Source organism: Homo sapiens, chromosome 8, assembly GCF_000001405.40.
Source record: "Homo sapiens chromosome 8, GRCh38.p14 Primary Assembly".
Classification (NCBI taxonomy): Eukaryota; Metazoa; Chordata; class Mammalia; order Primates; family Hominidae; genus Homo; species Homo sapiens.
Genome location: NC_000008.11, coordinates 18797324 through 18817440, shown reverse-complemented (window position 1 = coordinate 18817440; position 20117 = coordinate 18797324). Strand labels below are relative to the sequence as shown.

Genomic DNA, 20117 nt, shown 5'->3' with positions numbered 1-20117 from the left:
AGCCCTCGGGGCACAGTGCTGGGGAGAGTATGCTCTGAATCCATGACCTACAGGGTGAATTAGGTGATTGATAAGAGTCTGGACCCTTAGATGATGTGATGGTCATGGAGAGGTACTGCAGAATTACAGGGGGAACTGCGAAACAGCCCACGAACTTTGGAAGCTAACATGTGTCTAAAGTACATATATGATACTAATAACCTTTTGTAAATTGTTGTACCTTCTCCGATTGTGGAAGTTGGAGAATCGGCAGTTAATTTTGAAGCTTCCAAGTGATTGACTACTTTGAAATTGTAAGTGAATTCAGGCCTTCCTTGGGACTCTTTAACTCCTCTTCCCCTTGCTCACTCCTCTCCAGCCATGGAGGCTCCTCTGGGCCATCACTTAAAACTTACCAAACGCCATCTTGCCCAGGCCTGCATTTGTTTGAAATGATCTGAAGATAGCTTGCAAAGCCACATCCTCAGTTCCTTCTATTTTCTACTCACATGGTACTTTCTGAGTGCTGTGAATAAAATAGCAACCCCTCCCTCTCCTCTTGCATACCTAGCTATATTTATCTCCAAGGCACTTATGAATGTCACTGTCTGAGTGTAAACTCCTTGAAAGCAAGGACTTTCATCTGTTGATGCTTTATTAGACCTAATATTTACCTGGAACAGTGTGTGAGTCGTAACATGTTCAGATATTTGTGGGAGGGTGAAAGGCAGGAACAGAGGGAAAACTCTTCATGTATTTTATTGTTTCTCTCTCTTATTAGAAGGTAAAAGTCCACAAGGGCAAGGCTGCACCCCTAGCACTTAGAAATGTGCTGGCACATAGTCAATGTTTAAATAAATAATTGGAGTGAAAATTTGTGCAGGTTTGGTTGTGTATACTTAATTATGCAACCATAGTAAACACATATACAGATGTCCTTTAAAAAGTAGAAATGTTTGTTCCTATATACACCAAAGTTATGCGTGCAGTATAACCTGTAGTAATATCGGTTAGAAAGCCACATAGCTTATTAGTTAAGAGGCTGAATGCACAACTGCAGCCGCCATTGCTGAGCCCCAATCCCAGCTTTACCTCCTGCTGGCAGAATGGTCATGGCAAAGTTATTTAACTGCACCATACCTCAGTTTCCTTTTTTGTAAAATGGGAATGATGGAAGTACCTATCGTAAGGTCAAGGGCATTAAGTGAGTTAGTATAAAGTGCTTAAAATAGTGTATTAAACAGAGTAAACATTCTGGAATTCTTCATAAAAATATGTTAAGACAAAATATTTATTGATATTATTACTAATTCATTCATATTGGGTACTAAAGAGTGGAAACGTCCCCTGTTAATCCCATAGCCCCAGATGAAGATGACCCTTTGGATCTGTCTCCAGGGGAGCTGGAATATTTTAAAGAGATGAAAGCAGGAAGTGACAGAGATAGGATTTTATTTCCTAAGGGGAGGGTCTTACTCCTTGTATTCTTGCCAGGGTACTAATTCTTTCCTCTTTTTTAACATTGCACACAAAATTAAGTGAATCCAAGAAACCTTCCCTATATCGCATAGAGCAGCTTTCAGTGTAGTTGTAGTAGGTAGCACTTAGGGGAAACTCAGTGTAGAGAGGATATGTTGTCAGGCTGCTGCTGTAGAAACTGCCTGTAGCGTGCATAAAGAGAAAGTGAAGTTATGTGCAAGGTGAGACCGTACGGCCATGTCGTCAGTGGGTGTGTCAGCAGGAGAGGGACACTGCAGAACAGATACGCAGTTCCAAACACGCCAAAGAGAAACACAGCAACGCCTGTGCTATAGGACACTGGAAAAGGTGTCGTAAGAATTTGAAGAAAGGGGCTGGACGCAGTGGCTCCCTCTCATAATCCCAGCACTTTGGGAGGCCGAGGTGGAGAGATCACTTGAGGCCAGGAGTTCGAGACCAGCCTGGCCAACATGGTGAAACCCCATCTCTACTAAAAATACAAAAAAATTAGCCAGGCATGGGGGCATGCGCCTGTGATCCCAGCTACTCGGGAGTCTGAGGCAGGAGAATCGCTTGAACCCTGGAGGTGGAGATTGCAGTGAGCCGAAATCATGCCACTACACTCCAGCCTGGGCAACAGAGCGAGACTCCATCCCCCACACCTCCAACCCCACAAAAAAAAGAATTTGAAGAAAGGGCAGAATATACCAATAGAGATGGTAAAATTTGGACATTATATAACCATAGAAAATATTTGTTCAGCCTCTTGTATCCCAGAAGATGGAAGAGTTAGAAGAGAAAAGGGGGTGGGAGCAATGGGAGGCCAGAACTTCTCTAATATTCCCTGGCTAGATTGTAGCATTTATTACCTAATCAAGAAAGGAGAGTATTTGATCAAACTAAATTCATATTTATAAGTATATTTTACCTGTGCACTAGACAGGAAGTGAGTATTCTAAGGACTGGTGGTGGTGTGGGTACCCAGCTCTTTAACATAAACACTAAACAAACTGTTTAAGATATGAAAATTGTAGTTCTTATCCACATAAGGCATGTCTACTTTGTGCTTTGTGCCGCCTTTTGCTGCCCAGCTTCTGATGTCCAGTGCATATACACTGATACTAATTCAACCTGACAGAAATTCAGACAGAAGAGAATGTCCAATGGCATCTTAAGAAGACTCCAGAAAAATGAGTTGGTCAGACTGTAAGTGAGTCACTCTTCCTGTCTTGTCCACCGGAAATGGGGCTCACTGATCCTACCTTGCCCAAAGAAGCTTCTATGCAAACAATGAGCATATACATTTGTTTGCATCTAAATGTATTTCTATTTCTAAAGCTGGATATCCAGTAAGAGTTTCTTTGCAAATTATTCATTTGAAATGATTGTAATATGGGTTTATTAACATTGACTTGCACATATTACATTCTCATGTGAGAGCTATCCCACAAGAGCAGCAACTTAGTATAGGAAAATAAATAAATAAGTAAATAAAACAAAAAGTGAAAACCTGCATCATGCCCCTAGAAACGTTTGAACCCCTACATGGGTGAAAAGTACAGTTGTTATGTTGGAAGCCAGTGCCTCAGGAGCAAATGCAGACTCCCCGACTCATACAGTGAGTTTGGGTCATTTTCCATGGCACTGCCTTGCATGTGGGTGCCCTCTTCTGGAATAGTGAAAGCAAGGCTGAGAAAAAGGACTGAGATTTGGAAGGTATGCGGCGGGTGGGGCTGGGGGCAGAATCTGTATGTGATGCTTACTAAAATTTTTTATTGGTGAAGACTGAATTTTGTCTTCTGTGCTGAACAGAGAAATAGCTCTTAGGAATTCTGCTAATTAGGTTTTGTGTGTTTCCTTTATAAAGAGTCTTAAATCATAAGAGGCTGTCCCTTCCAGGGAATGTATTCTATGTAACTGTTGAAAACAGGTTCATTTGAGACGTTTGTCCTAAGTATTCCTACTGAGCGCTAACTAACATTTGTATGGAGATTTATATTTAATAAAGTGCTGTCATGTATTATCTCACGTCATCATAACCTTAATGATGCTGGTGGTGTTGGTGACGAAGATGGATCTGGTGATAGGAGCAGACGTTTTTTGTTTACCGTATGCCAGACATCTTACATGCCAAGCATCATACATGGATCTTCTCATCTCATCTTCACAACAGCTTGTGAATATGATACTATTATCTGTTTTATAGCTAAAAACCTTAAGGGTTACAGACAATGATGACCTTACCTACCTAAGGTCCCAGAACTGGTGACCACTGGAGCCAGTGTTTGAACTTGGGTGGTCTAACTGGAGTTCTCCAGCAGATAATTGCTTTTGGCATCTTCTAAATTAATAATCATTGCTTGCTGGCAAACTGAACACTCACAGGTAGAATTTCCTGAACAAATGAAGGGAGACCCCTGAATTCTTCTGTTGTAACAGAATTCAAATGAATACACTACTGCTAGACATATTTCTTTGGCGCACTTTGGTGTTCTTTGGTCATGTTGAGTGCTCTAGCCTCTCCCAGGTGATTCCCTCCACCAACATAAGGGTGACTAGTTCACATCTACTGAATTCTTGCAGACAGGGGATGGTTGCCATTGCTACCAGACAGCTCTGCCTGGTTAACCTGTGTGTACCTTGTACCTATCGTTTCTTCGAACCAAACTCCTGGTCTTCCACGAGTGCTTGTTTCTTTCCATGTGTGCACACTGTTACCCATTCCCTCTTCTTCCTCTTGTGTTCATTGTCTTGTTTGGTGGCATCACCTTCCACCAGCTTTTAAGTCAGGGTTAGTCTTGTACCCACCCTTGAACATAGCTCCATGCACATCTCAAGCCACTCATCCCGTTCTTCCATTTTACCTTCTAAATAGCTTTCGGAGGAGGCTTTTCCTTCATATTCACACAGACACGCAATTTAGTTTCTCATCTCTTGACTGTACTATTCTGATACCTTTTGTAGCTGGTTTTTCTGTCTCAATTTTGAGTCCCTGCAGTTTTCCCTCCACACCACAAGCAAAACTGATCTTACCAAAACCCAAGTCTGATTGTTGTTCCTCTCTTTAGACCTATAGTGACTTCCTGTGTGTTAGAGGGGTAACTCAAAGCTCTGACAGTGCATCAGGATCATCTTGGTCCTTAAACAGAAGAATGCCAGGGCCCACCGCAGGCCAGCGACTGAGAATTCCCTGCAGTGCACCCTGGCACGTGTCTTTCCTGAAATCTCCACGTGTCCTCACATCCTACTTGGATAGCCAATGGACATCTCAAGGTGAACACATCAAAAATGGAACTTCTTTTTCTCACAACCTGTGTTAACTTTGGTCTTTCATGTCTTGGTCGATGGTAACCCCACCCTTGAAGTTGCTCAGGACTAAAACTTAACTACTATTCTCTCAGCCCTCCCAAAGGACCAGTTGGCAGGTCCTCCGGGACCTATAGCCCCTACTGCCACCCAAGCCAGCTCCTCCCTGGCACATGCATTACCCCCTGACTGGTCACCCTGCTTCTCCAGTCTATTTTCAAAGCAATACTTAGAGTGATCCTTTAAAAATATAAATTAATGTTAGATCTTTACTCAGAACCCTTCAATATTAACCATTTCACTAGGAGTAAAAACCAGTCTCCATAGTGGCCCCCAAGGCCTTTAAACAACAAAGTCGTTCCCCAACTCTGCAGAGGTGTTCTGGGGCATTGCAGTGAGCTCACAGGTGTTTCTCAGGATATTTAAATTGTCAAGGGAAACACAGCTCTCCTCATCATCTGTCAAACATCATGTGAACAGCTAGTTCAGCGTCAACATCAGATTGTGCTATATTCCTTTTGACGTCATAGCTTTGAGCTGGATTTTCACCAGTTGTTGTGATAAAAATTAAGTGCTATGAGAAAACAAATGAGTGGCGGTGTTCAGTCTGATCCGAGATTTAGGAAGTCATATGGCCCAGAGGCACACACATCTATTAGTAAGCAATCGTTATTTAATAATAAAAATGATTTTTCTTTCAATTTGTATGTATTGTTTTTTCAAATGACTGTAAATTGTTGGGTCCAAACTTAATAAGCATTTATACACTATTATTCTGTTACTAAATGGAATATATTTCCTTTGGCCTTGGAGTGTCATAAAAAACTTACATATTAAAGACTCTGAGTCGAGAAAATGTGGGAACCTCCATCCCACAAGCCCATTTGCTCTCTGGGTATTCTCCGTTCACTGCCTCTGCCCCAGCCACTCTGGCTTTCTTGCTTGCCCTCACACATCTAACATGCTGCAGCCTTTGGGCCTTCTCTGGGCTTGGAATGCTGTTATTTTATCATATTTGCAAGGCTTATCTCCTTTACATCTTGCTCAAATGTTGCCTTCTCCATGAGGCCTACCATGACCACTTCGTAGAAAAATGTTTCCACCCTCATCCCCAAATTAGGGTTCCTCTTCTATCTTTGCTCTATTTTTTTCCAGAGCAAACGTCACCTTCTAATATGTAGAATTTACTTATTTATTAAATTCTTTATTTTTAGCTCCCCTCCCCACCCAGGGTAGAAGTTTTTAATTCTGTTTTGCTTACTGTAGTCTACCAAGCACCTAAAATATGTGGCACAGTATAGGGAATTAAATACGTATTCATTGAATCATTGAAGACAGACATACCAGAAGATGACTGGCAGGAGCAAAATGGATAGTAGTAAAGCTTATAAAAGTAGTAAAGCATTGGAGTCTCACTGACCATGTCCAGCTCCTTGCCTCAGTTTTCCCATCTGTAAAATGGGTTATACTATTGCCTGTTTCATAAGACTGACAATTCAATCCCTAGGAAGAAGCCCAGAGGCTGGCACATAGTAAATGCCTAACCATTGTTAACCTATTAGGTTTATGGTACCATGGTGGGTGCTATGGCTCTTCTGAATAACTTCTCATTTACATTTCTTTGGGAATTAGATGATGTGCTCTCTACAATGCCTAGGAAATAAATGCCATAGATAATGATGGACAAAATTATTTTCTTTTCCCTTTTCAGAGGCAATTTATGATTTAGGGTTTTACTTATTTTTTGCTGATGGTGTACTTACTTCTGACTTGTATTTCAGCCCTGGAAGCTGTGCGTTTGTACCCGCCCTCTTGTCTGTTGGTTCCAGTCTTCTGTGTTTCTATGTCATCAGCCTGAAGAATGGCAAAGGAGTCATGTTGTTCCCACTGGTCTTTTTATTCCACTTGCAGCTGAAGTCATTTCTTCTCACTCCTTGAGATTCTTCTAATTTGCCTTTGCCTAAGTTATGTATAAAATTCAACTCGACTAGGTGGCTGTTATTATTTTCTATGTACAACCCTTGGGGTACACTTTATAAATACAGGGTCATACAGGGAGCTTTGACACCTTAACCTAACTTCTTTTTGGTCCTAGTTTTATTACCACAATTACATAAAAATTTAAAGAAATTTTAAATTTAAATTCAAAGTATACTATTGCCTGTATGAAACGGGCAATAGTATACTGTTTATTAAAGTTCTGGGAAAAATTGAAAGTAAAACAGTACACTATTGAGTATATTGTTTTATACAGGCAATAGTATTCTACTGATGTCAGTTTTTTTCCAGGATTAGCTACAGTGAATTGGAAAATTAGTGCCACATACCATTATTGATAGCATAGCATGGAAGACAGTGGAGGAAGTAGACATGGCAGATGGCTGTGTTCTTGCATTCTCTTAGCAGATGGCTGTTGAGTACCTTCAGCCGCCCCTTGTGTTGAGGATTCAAACCAGAATTCAAGACAGTGGTAGGTGAAAGCGATGAGATTTTAAAAGATAGCACTAAGAGTTCACAGAATTTGGCATGGTAGGGCTGGGGGTGATGAGTGTGGCAAAGGGAACAACATACGTAAAAGGCATGGGAGCACAGCTTGTATTTGTGTGGTTCAAGTAGGAGGGAAATGGTAGAGGACAGGTTGAAAAAAGAAATTGGGGTCAGCTTGGAAAAGGCCTTAGGACATGCTACAGAATATGGATCTTGTGTAGGATTTGTGTAAAGTGGCTACATTATCACATTTGTGGTGGTAGCATGCAGGTCAAGAGAGAAGGATGAAAACACAGAGGAGGGTTTTTGTGTTTTTGTTTTTGTTTTGTTTTTTTTGTATTTAGAGGACGTTAGAGAAGAATCAGTAGATTATAGGCAACAAAGTCTTGATAAAACTGTAGAAAAACAGTAGGAATAAAATCGCAGAAACAAGTGAAAAAATCCAGAAGGATTCTAATTGTGAATAAGCTACCAGTTGGCAATCATGGAACACCATTATTGGAATTCTTGAAATAAAGTTTAGAAAAAAACATTTCAGGAAGTTTTGCCAGATAAAATATAAGATGCCTAGTTAAACTTGAATTTCAGAAAAACGATGAATAATATTTTTGTATAAGTATGTCCTGTGCAGTATTTGGGACGTACTTACACTAGACACTGTTTTTTGATGTGAAATTCAAATTTTATTGGGTACCCTATTTTTATTTGGAAAATCTGCCAATCTTAGTATGATTCAAAAGGTTGTGAGAAGGCATGGTGATCAGAGTCAATGATCTGGTCCTTCATTTGATGATGCAGTGTTTTGATGAGAGAATTATTACCATGTTTACTTGGAGGTCAGAAATAAAGGCCCCAGGGAAGCATTTTCTAGAACACAGGGAGAACCTTTTGGGAAGTCTCTTACACATTTAAGTGACTGGTAGGGATTTATTTATTTGCAACCTTACTAGGCTGTAAAGTGATTTGATCAAGAAAAAGAGGGAAAATAAAACAACCATAGAAAAGAGAAAATCCAAACTACAGAACGCATCTAATGCTCAGCAGACTAGAGCTGCAATGTCTTGTGTATTCAAGAAAACAAAATGGGGTGTTATCCCCTCCGAGAGGGATCACTGAGTTGGCTTTATCAAGTGTGAACGAGGCTGGGCTCACTGTTTCTTACGTTCTCGATAGACAGTGGCCCTTGTGTTCTGGCTGCTGTTTTTATTAGAACTGCAGAAACATTACAGAAACCGCAACAATGAACACTCGGCTGAGAATGTGAGGTCATAGTAGTGTGACCTCACAGGGAGCCAGGTTCTTGGAAGGCTGTGAGGCTCGGCAGTCACTGAACTTGGGAGCTGAAGAATACTGGACGGGGCTTCGGAGAGGAAGGATGGTCCAGGCGCACCCCAGGGGTTGCGATGGGCTCTTCTTGGTGTCTGTATGGTTGCTGGTAAGTTTATATTGCCATCATATTGTCAAGCTTTCTGATTTAAAAGGAGCAATTCCGGTTCTTGTTCAAATAATCTCCTAAACTGTGAAATGGACAGAATGAAGCCATCTAGGGACATATTTATCCTTTGTGCTTTATTTTCTCCTTTTACTGAAACCTTTTTGAAGAAGATCCAGAAAGTCTGATGCACACAGATTTTGCAATTATATGGTTTTGGTGAATGTGAGGAAAATTAGGTGAAATCATCTGGACTGGGCAGCATAGTAGAAAAGGGGCAAATATGGAGAATGAGTAACATGAGGAATGGAATGATTTTGGGTAATAAATTTTTAAAATGTGTTCTCATTAGAATAAGCCTCTTGTATTTGAACAAAATTGGGCCAGTACTGTATATGTGGTATAATTACATTGTTTGCACAGAATGATTAAATAAATGCCATGAATTTTCCCTGGGAAATGAGCAGTGAGTAGTGGTTTAATTAAGAAGAAAATCCTTTCTTTGACATGTGTTTTTACTACATGATAGGAAAAGCACACATGGAAACACAACTCCAAGGGCTTTGTTTTGTGTTTTGTATAATTATAAAAAGTACTTGATTGTAATTAACGTAGTTCTTGGAATAAATATTTTACATTTCTGTCACTTGTATGGGAAAACACAAAGTAACCATGAATTGCCTAAAAGAAATTTCTACTGTGAGTTTTCTTATTATAGGTTATACTGTCGATAATGATTATTCAGTTTCCTGATGGGATAGATTTCACAAAACTGAATGGTAGTGTTAAGTCTCTTTTTAAAAAAATGTTTACATCATAGACAGGAGGGTCTCACCGTGTTGTCCAGGCTGGTCTCAAACTCCTGGGCTAAAGCAGTCCTCCCCTTGGCTTCCCAGTGTGCAGGGATTACAGGTTTCAGCCACCACACCCAGCCATGTAATGTTAAGTCTATAAAGGAAGATGTAGGATGAAAAAATCATGCATTTAAAAATGTATTTTCATGGAGATTTTATCATAATGAAGCAATTTATTTTAACTGGTAGGCATGTGTATTGGGAAACTGTTCAAGGTGTTGAGGGTTACCATACATGTTAGTTTGCCTGGGTCAGTTCCAGTTAATGCCTGCTGTTCTGCCATTGATATTGACTGTGGTTTGGTATTTGACTTAGAGTTTTAATAACTGAACTATTACCATTAATAGCTATGGCAAAATAAGCCAGCATGGGTTTGGTAGACCTAACTTCGTATTCCCAGCTTCTCCCATGGTATCATCTGGGAATGTGTGAGTTGACATTTTTACACAGTTGAGTCTAAAAAACTCTCTCTCTTTTCCCTATTCTTAGAGCTTCATTTCAAGGGCAGGATGTCAGGTGCTTGCCGATAAAGTGTGCTTGGAGAAGAGTTGCTAAGGACAGTTAACTCCTTCTAATCCTGTGGTGGTTGAGGGAGTATGAGACTTTGCAGCTACTTGTTATACCAGCTGGTTGTCCAGGAGCCCTGGCTGCTTTTTCAGTGACCTTGAAGCATAAGGCCAGTGCTTCCTTGGTAGAGCAGTGGGAAAAGGGAACTTGTAAATGAGGTAGAATAAGTGACAAGATGGAGCAGTTCTGCTTAGAAATGCATTTATTTTTACTACAATGGTTTTTGTCATTTCGTGATGTAAGTTTACAACCTATTTTTTAGGTTCAGATTTTTAAAAACATAACACCATTGAGATAATTGAAATACTGTATCACTTGCTTTATTAAAGTATAAAATCCGGTGGTTTGGGCATATTCAGAGTTGTTTAGTCGTTACCACTGTCTTAAGGATGCTTTCATCACCCCAAAAGAAACAATGCCCATTAGCAGTACTGCTTTTTTATTGATAATGCCTTCTTTATTTATTTTGTAATGATTATAATAGAATATTTAAGGATTTATTATCTCCGTTTCCCCTTTAGAGTGTCCTGGTTTAGACAGTAAATGGTTATTGTGCTTAATGCAAGCCAAGTTAAAGAACTATGGGATAGAGCAAGGGCAGATAAACTCCCATCCATGGGCCCAATTCAGCCCAGCTGGCATGGCTCTTAGGTTTTTTAAGGTTGTAACAAAACAACAACAACAAAGCAGCATGTGTGACAGGGGCCATATGTGGCCTGCACGCCTACGATATTTATTATTTCATCCATTATGGAAAAATTCTGACCGCCCTTGGTTTAGCATCTGTGGTAAGTGTGTTCGAAGGCCGTGTAAGCACATTTTATTATGAGCATGTCTTACTTCCAAGTTAAGATAAAGATTTGGAAATTAATGTATCCTCATTAGTTTCACTGTTATAAATACAAGAGAACCCTCTATACCTGACCACAGGCTGTAGTCTTTAAGCCCTTTCTAGGGCGGAGTTCTCAACGTGTTGCCTGTGGAGCTTTCTTCCTTCAGTTAGGTTTATGAGATCAAAATTGTTTTACACTAATTATTATAACACTATTTTTGTTTTTCACTGCGTTGATATCTTATGGTGCAAAAACAATAGTGGAGGTCTTAGTAGAACTTAAGGCAGCGGCACCAAACTCTTCTAGTCATCGTATTCTCCACTGTCATGCACTCAAAATAAAAATATAGGCCAGTTTCACCTTTAAAAAAATCCTTGATGAAACCAGTACAGTTTATTTCATTTCAGCGCTTGAGATCATGTCTTTTTAATTTTGTGTGTGATGAAATGGGAATAAAGCACTTCTGTTCCTGGTAGTCTCCAGGAAAAACATTCGTCTGTCATTTAAGTTGGGGCTAAAAACTAGTCACTTTTTTCATTGAATGTCATTTTTCCTTGAGAGAATGACTGACAAACTATGGTTATTGGCAAACATTTTCTTGAAAATGGAGTAAGCCTATTACTTTAAGGAAAACAGCTGATAATAATTTGTAGCAAATGATTACATTTGAGCTTTTGAACAAAAGTTAGGATTTTGGAAAACTTGTATCTGCCCGCAAAGGTTTGGCAGCTTCCCAATACTTAGACTTTTCATTAATGGTGACATTAGTGAATATGATTTTTTTAAGGTTATATAATGAAATGTGTCAACACATGTTTTGCAGATAACCAATGTGTGATGTTACAAAATCATGTAAGGGTTAAAAGATCCATTCAAAGTATAAGATAGATTTTAATATAAGAGTACAAAAAGTTAATCGACACAAATTTAGATTCCATATTGCAAGTAAGAATATCCTTTAAGAAACTACCACTTGTCTCACTTTGGTGTTGTATCAAAAAAGAATATCCACAATTATCTGAAAAGGATATTAAAATATTTCTTTTTTCCAATGAAATATGAGTGAGGGCACATTTTCTTAATGTGTTTCAACCAAAATAATATATTGTTACTGATTGAATGTAGAAATGGCTCTTAGAATTCAACTGTCTTGTAGTAAGCCAGCTGTTAAAGAAATTTGTGTTTTAAAAAAACAGTGAATTTTAGTTCTTCTGGAAAACAATAGTTGTATCTTTATAGTATTTGTTATGTAAAACAGATTTATTTTTAAGTGAGTGAATTTTTAAAATGTTTCTATTTTCATTACTACGAGGGTAAATATCGGTAGGTATAACCCACATAAGTGAAAGCCGTATGGAGTCCTTCTAAGAATGTAAAGGTCTAGAGACTGAAAAGTTTGGGAACTGCTTGCCTAAGATTTAGGCAATCTGTTCTTTAGTTCTTTAAAATATGGTAACTGAAAAAATTTTTATGAATATTTAAACATACAGTGATCTCATCTAAGTGTAGCTGAACTAAAAGAAAACTATCAATATTTCATCAGATATTTTCCTTTTTGCCATATAAGAAAAATCTATTATTTTCTCTCTTTATCAATTATCATAGCAATGCTGGGGTGAAAACAACACGGCTAGAAGCTCATTCTGAAATGGGGAGCACTGAAATTTTGGAAAAGGAGACCCCAGAAAATCTCAGTAATGGTACCAGCAGCAATGTGGAAGCAGCCAAAAGGTTGGCCAAACGCCTTTATCAGCTGGACAGATTCAAAAGATCAGATGTTGCAAAACACCTTGGCAAGAAGTACGTTCTGACCCATTGCTGGAGTCTGAATTCTCTCCTGTTTTGTGTGTGTTTTAAATAGTTTACCTTTCAATAACCAAGTCTATTCTGTTTTCTTATAGCAACGAATTTAGCAAACTAGTTGCAGAAGAATATCTGAAGTTTTTTGATTTTACAGGAATGACGCTGGATCAGTCACTCAGGTATGACTAAGCCTCCTTGCTGCTCGTCATTGCTTTCAAATGATTAGTTCTTAGAGAAGAAAGTAATGTCTTCTAGCTAGAATCTTATTTTTTTTTTTTAAACCTCCATGTATAGGTGGAGTATTCCTTCTCCAAAATGTTTGGGTCCATAAGTGTTGTGGATTTTGGATTTTGTCAGGTTTAGAGATGTTTGTGTTATACTTATCCAAGTGAACATCCCAAATCTGAAAATCTGAAATGCTTTAGGGAGCATTTCCTTTGAACCTTATTTCAGCACTGAAAAGTGTTGTAGATTTTGGAGCATCTCTGATTTGAAGCATTTTAGATTTCTTATTTTTGGGTTTGGGACGTTTAACCTGTAGTTTGTGAACTTAGCTCAAATTGTATTATAGATATTAAACACAGCAAAGAGTAAGAAAAACGTATTCATTTAACGAAATGACACATGAATTGATAGTCTACACCTACTGGTAAGCCTGAGTTCAGGTGGTAAACAATTGGTAGCAAAGCAAATCTGGATAAAAAATGCCATCTGTAGGAGTTTTTCTGTTTTTCGTTTTTTTATCGTGTTAGAATACAGATAGCATAAAATCTTTCATCTTAGCAATTTTTAGGTATACAATGAGTGGCATTAAAAACATTCATAATGTTGTCCAGCCGTCACCACCGTCCATCTCCATGATTCTCTTCTTGTAAAACTGAAGCTCCATACTCGTTAAACAATGACTTTTTTTTTCCTTCCCCTCCTTTCCCCCAGCCCCTGGCAAACACTATTCTACTTCTCTTCTCGATGATTTTGACTACTGTAATGTAAATTGATATATACATTATTTGCCTTTTTGTGATTCATTTAACTTAGCATAATGTCTTCAAGGTTCATTCTTGTAGCATATATCAGAATGTCTTCCCGTTCTAAGGCTGAGTAATACCCCATTATGGGGAATATATATACCACCGTCAGCTTCAGGACACGCTTGGGTTGCTTCCATGCTTTTGCTATTGTGATTAATGCTGCTGTGAACATGAGTGGACAAATATTTCTTCAAGACCCTGTTTTCAATTGTTTTGAGTAGGGAGTTTGGTTTTTGAATGATGAGTTTAACACACACACACACACACACACACACACACAGTTTATAGATTGTAGAATTAGAATTAGATTTTTTTCCTAAGTATTTGCTTATTATATTTGCTTACTATAGCCCAATAGCCTTTTTTTTTTTTTTTTTTTTTTGGAGACAGAGTCTCGCTCTGTCACCCAGGCTGGAGTGCAGTAGCACCATCTTGGCTCACTGCAACCTCCACCTCCCAGGTTCAAGCAGTTCTCCTGAATCAGCCTCCCGAATAACTGGGACTACAGGTACGCACCACCACACCTGGCTAATTATTTGTATTTTTAGTAGAGATGAGGTTTTGCCATATTGGCCAGGCTGGTCACGAACTCCTGACCTCAGGCAGTCCACCCGCCTCAGCCTCTCAAAGTGCTAGGATTACAGGCGTGAGCCACCGCACCTAGCCCCAATAGCCTTTTAAGGTGATACTTTGGAATTAACTCTTCAGTGGAATAAAAATGAATGTCAGCATAATCAGTAGAAAGTATCTATAAAACTGTTTGCAACAATATCCACTTTTTCTGACCTTTTCAAATGAAGGTGTCTAAAACTCACTGATTCTCACTTTTTACATTATATTGTATTACAAGTTTCTAAGTAGCTGAAGGTAAAACCTAGTCAGCATTTAATTTTCAACACTATTTATAAAATGTCCATGTCTGGAAGAATTCTGAGATCATCTAGTGTAACCCTTTAATTTTACAAATCAAGAAACTGAGGTCTGGGAGGTGAAGGGAGGATGTTTGGACTGGAGTGTAGTACTGCAGTGATTTATCGTGGGGCTCTTTTCATGCAGCAAAGGTACTCAGATTTTCTAACAAAAACAGTTATCAGTGGATGAAAGATCTGTATTTTTGCCTTGCATTCTGATGTAGTTTATTAAAGTTATGAAAAATTAAAGTTTTGTCAATATATAGTTTGTTAATCTTAATTATACCTATAATAAGGAAGAAGGCAAAATTTTCATAGAAATGAGGCTCATGGTATGTTTTTTACCATAGTAAGATTTCTTAGACATTTTGAATGATTTTTTTTTTCCTTCCCATCTCATGTTTAGGAAAATGAATCTACATTGTCAAGTGAGGGTCATCTGGATTCATCTCAAATAAACAGTGCTCTTAGTGACTCCGAGTAGATTAATGTGTGGTTTTTGATACACTTCCTATAATTTAAAGATATTTTTATACATAAACTAATTCCATTATGTAAGGAATAAATTACTTATATCTCCCAATTTCCTCCTCCTATAACAAATTAATATTAAAATGTGATAACAGACACAATTAACAGAAATCTCCTGTGCACAAAGCAATGCAATCCATAGTGGCTTTAATAGAGATGACAGTCATGTAACAAAATGACAGAAGCACCCTGATGCGTGTAGAGTTTTAAAACATAGCCTTTATGATGATGTATTGAGTCTTAAGCGGTCTTTGTTTTTTTTAAATCTGACCTTTTAAAATTGGCTACTTGACACTTGGTCATAATGAGGAAATTACCTACCTTCCCAAGGCTTTCTTGATGTACTGACCACTCTGTTATCACCCTGTCATCTTTTAAGTGGACATTTTTTTTTTCTTTTGAAACGGAGTCTCACTCTGTCGCCTAGGCTGGAGTGTAGTGGCGCGACCTCAGCTTACTGCAACCTCCGCCTCCTGGGTTCAAGCGATTCCTGCCTCAGCTTCCTGAGTAGCTGGGATTACAGGCGCCCACCACCATGCCCGGCTAATTTTTGTATTTTTAGTAGAGATGGGGTTTCGCCATGTTGGCCAGGCTGGTTTTGAACCCCTGACCTCAAGTGAACACCTGCCTTGGCCTCCCACAGTGCTTTTTATAGAATTTAAATACTAATACCAATTTATATTGAATGGCTGTCTAGTAAATGATTTTTTTGGGGGGAGATAACTTCATAATATCTTACTTTGTATAATTAATATCTTAGGTTTATATAAATTGACTTTTAACTATGAAAGAGTGTGATAGCATTTTCGAAAATTTCACTGTTTAAATTTTTAATTCTCTTGTAGGTATTTCTTTAAAGCATTCTCTCTTGTGGGAGAAACTCAAGAACGAGAGAGAGTTTTAATACACTTCTCCAATAGATATTTTTATTGTAACCCAGATACCATTGCTTCACAAGGTAATCTGATACAAATCCTTGAATTTCTTTTTTATATCAATGGTTATTTTCCTTATTATGAAAGTTAAATTTTATTGTGAGAAATTATGTATCTTCAGTTACCTAGTGATAACTATTAACACTTCTGTTTACTTCATTCTAGTCTATTTAATATTTAATGTCAAATTGGAATTAGAGTTTTGTTTTTAGCTGCCTTTTTATTTCATTGTGAGCATTTTCTCATGTCATTAAATATTCTTTAAAAGCATAATATTTAAGGACAGCATGATATCCTCTACTCTTACTTAAATTATTTTGTTTTCCACTTCTCTAGTGTGACAGCGTACTTTCTTTAAATTGTTCATGGTTTGTCACTCTGAGATTTTATGTAATGAATGAAATTTCAGTTTTCTTATTTCTTATACATTTGGTCTCTATGTTTCTTGATGAAAGCTCATGTATCCTGAGTGTTGGAGTTAGTTTTGGAAAAATTAACAAATCTCACTGGTGGTTGCGCTGTGTCTCTGGTGCTTTCGTTTGATATTAATTGTACTATACTGACCACAAACTTTTGTTGATGATTTTAATAAACTATGAGGTTATGCATATTACACTATTTTTACAAAGTAAGTGACTTAATGGTAAACTGTTTGTTTGTGGACCTACCTTGTGAAGAGAGATCTTTCCTCCATTTCAGTTCCTGCAATAAAGTACACTTTTCAGTGTTTGAAGTGAAGCACTTTGACTTGTGACTGGAAAATGTTTCATAAACTTACAGATGATGGAGTAAATCACTGAGACTAGATTCCCAAGAAATAGTAATTACCTCTTAGCTTCAGTATTGCCAGTTAACCTGGATAGTTTACTTGGTATTGGCCAAGGTGCTTGCCTCAACCTCCCCTCCATGTCCAAGGCTGCAGTCACAGTTAGTTTATCACCTGATTAAGGTCACATTCCTATCGGTAAACTGATGCTATTCAGACCAGTTATTCACTATCTCTGTCACCATTAGCCCTGACAAGAGAATGAAGGAGATAAAAGTGGGCCATTTTTATTAGAACCTTCTTCAAATCTAAGAATATGTTTACATTCTTGGATAAAATAAGAAATATGGATTCGTGACTTAATTGGCTGTTGATGAGGATATTTGAGAGTTGGCTGCTGAGTTCTTAAAATACTTTCGAGAATTTGTTTTAAATATATGTAGAACTTGTGATAATAAAGTGGTACTAGAATAAATATACTTTTAGCCATTTGGTAGTGTCTATTTAGAGACACTGATAACAGAAATCACCTACTATACTAAAGAACTTACTTTTGAAAATACCCTGGCTTTAATTTATGAGTGCAATAATTAGACCTTCTAATTTAGCGTAAATTGAAAAGATTTTTACTGCATCTGAAACTGCTATTGTCTACTGTACTTGTGTAGAGAATTAGCAGAGTGAGAGTAACGAGAACAACTAATTGTAGTGTTTGGAAAGGAGAATCTTAACTCTACTTGGAGAACATTTTTATATGACTTTAACCTAACAGTAATGTGTCTTTGGAGGCTCATATTTACTTGTCTCCCATTGTAAGCAATGCTTGTCTGGATATCCTTGTACTATGTATAGATCACTAATTATTGCTGTAGTGCAAAGCCCTAGAAGCCGATTTGTTGTATCAAAAGACATTGTTTGAAGGCTTTACATATCTACTACCAAACTGTCCTCCAGAGAGGTAAGAACAACTTATCAACAGTGGAGTCCAGTTCTGTGCATTGAGGTTCTTTCTATAAATTATTCTTATCCATTTTTTGTTTCTTAAAACAGGACTAATTGTACCTAGCACAGTACTGTTTTCATAGGTTCTGAGTGTATCCTATTAGTGATAATAAGGTGGAGTCCAACAGTGAAAAGCGAATTCATGCTTTTTTTTCTTGTATCTTTCTTTAGATGGAGTCCATTGCCTTACCTGTGCAATAATGCTTCTTAATACCGATCTACATGGCCACGTAAGTGTGGATTTGTGAAACTTAGATCCAAAACATGTCGGGCTTATCTCTGCTTTTATGTTCAAACACATTTATTTTCTGCCTCCCCGTTTCCCATTCTCTACATGGTTCCCATGGCAGGTGAATAAAAAGAAATCTTTGAAAAAAGAAATAATTTTTTTATTTCACATGCTAGCACAGAGTATGACTTTAAATCCATCGTCCTGGTGTCTGGAGTTGTTTTAGCAGTAATGTGTGTGTTCTGTGTCTTCTTTGTCCAGTAGATGGCAGACAGAGCTTTTACTTATTTTTGTTTTCTGGTTGAGAATTACAGTTGATAGATAATGATGGAGAGAATACAAATTAGATCTGAAAATGTGAATTGTGTTTTCCCTACATACCATAGTGAGTTGAATAACTCAGCCTTTCTTGTGCCCCTCAGCTTATCTAGTCTTTTACTAGTTGAAATAATAAAACAAACTAATTACCGTCTCATCATCTACTTAAGATACAAGATAAAGTGTTAAAATGTATAATTATATATAAATTTGCAAGTTTTGTAGAAGTAGAATTTTAGCATTTACTCGAACTCTTCATAATACTCTTTAAAATAAATGAACCTGGGACTATGAAGTAATTTTTGCTCTAAGTAAGTATAGATTAGTCCATATTTAACGAATTCTGATTGTATTTTGAAGAGAAAATCAGGTGTCTGTGTAGAGTATATTATCCCTTGATTTGCCGTAATATATCTTACAATTTAAAAATTACATATAAAAAATTGATATTTAGATATTCTGCTAGTCACATAATTTCCTTTTTTGGAAAATATAGTGTTCCCTTTTAAGAAAGGAACCATGGAGCTCTATGGGACCATTAAGTTGGACTAGCTGTTATAAGAGGAAGGGGTTCAGGGAGAAAGGGTTCCACCACCAGAAAGCAAACAGGAGATATAGTGATAGAATCCTAATTTTAACATCATTTTAACATATCTCAAAATACTCAGCTAGAAAGTTCCTTTTGCCATATATAAGAGGTGAATTTAGAATCACTTAGTGGCTTGTAAACATAGGTAGCACGTGTCCAGAGATAATACAGATGAAAAGAAAATACTTTCAGGAAGCATTCTTGGGCAGTATAGCACGGCTAATACACCATGTGGAAATGCAGGCATTTCACAGTGTGAATCTTGACATGACTACCGCAATCTAATGTTCATCCAGCTTGTTAAAGGGATGGCCAGTCAGTGGATTGTCATGACCACTTTTTTCGTGTTACTGGCCAAGCAAGTTTTCACTGCTTTGTCTGGCTGTTTGGTGATAACAGTTGCTCTTTGCACCCTTCTTTTCCTTAGCCTTTCTGGCCAAAGGAGAAAATTTTGAGTGCGTTTGGCCACATATAACATTGAATCAAGTCAGTGATCACCAGCGTGAAGAATTCCCTTCACACTAGATATTTTGAGGTTCCATCAACATAAAAGAGTTGTACGTTTAGCATCTGTTAACTGAGAAAAGTTTAATGGTGGGAGGAAAAAAATTCAGTAATATTGCAATTTCTCTTTAAAGGTTGCAGATCTCTTAGAGCTTTTGTCACATTTTTGATGATTTGTTTCTACTAAATCCTAGATTGCATTTTTAAAAAGCTAATATAGCTTTAATAATACTTTTACATAAGCATGTATCTGAATCATAAGAACTTGAAATGTAGCAACCAATAAAGATGTTATTTTTTATTAGATATCTCAGCATGCTTGATGTCTAGATGAGCTGTGGACACCCAGGTTTCAGTAGCTACAGGTTTAGAGCTGCAAATCTAGGACATTTGCTCTTCTTTAGACTTACAAGGAATTGTAAGGAGATTAGATGAAGCATCCTGCTTCTTCTTGGCAACTGGGATGGAAAAGAGTTTACATAAATTAACATTTTAATATTACCTTGAGTTAGGCCAATCATGGATAATTAATAATTGGCAGTCGTGGCAAAATTACTGATA

At 37.7% G+C, this 20117-nt stretch overlaps 1 protein-coding gene across 32 annotated transcripts in view; it reads left to right on the top strand.

Annotated features, from left to right (window-relative positions):
- The window catches only part of PSD3 (pleckstrin and Sec7 domain containing 3), a 557503-nt gene that overhangs the window by 267365 nt on the left and 270021 nt on the right, over positions 1 to 20117 (top strand). For 27 of the 32 annotated variants that reach the window (NM_001412865.1, NM_001412866.1, NM_001412872.1 and 24 more), the window contains 4 exons: positions 12543 to 12737; positions 12839 to 12919; positions 16059 to 16171; positions 18088 to 18146. In NM_001412865.1, coding sequence (NP_001399794.1) covers positions 12543 to 12737; positions 12839 to 12919; positions 16059 to 16171; positions 18088 to 18146 — 448 coding nt within the window. Of the gene's footprint in view, positions 1 to 8573; positions 8687 to 12542; positions 12738 to 12838; positions 12920 to 14161; positions 14280 to 16058; positions 16172 to 18087; positions 18294 to 20117 lie in introns of those variants that run through there. The other 5 variants (NM_206909.3, NM_001412893.1, NM_001412894.1 and 2 more) reach the window with 3 other exon arrangements.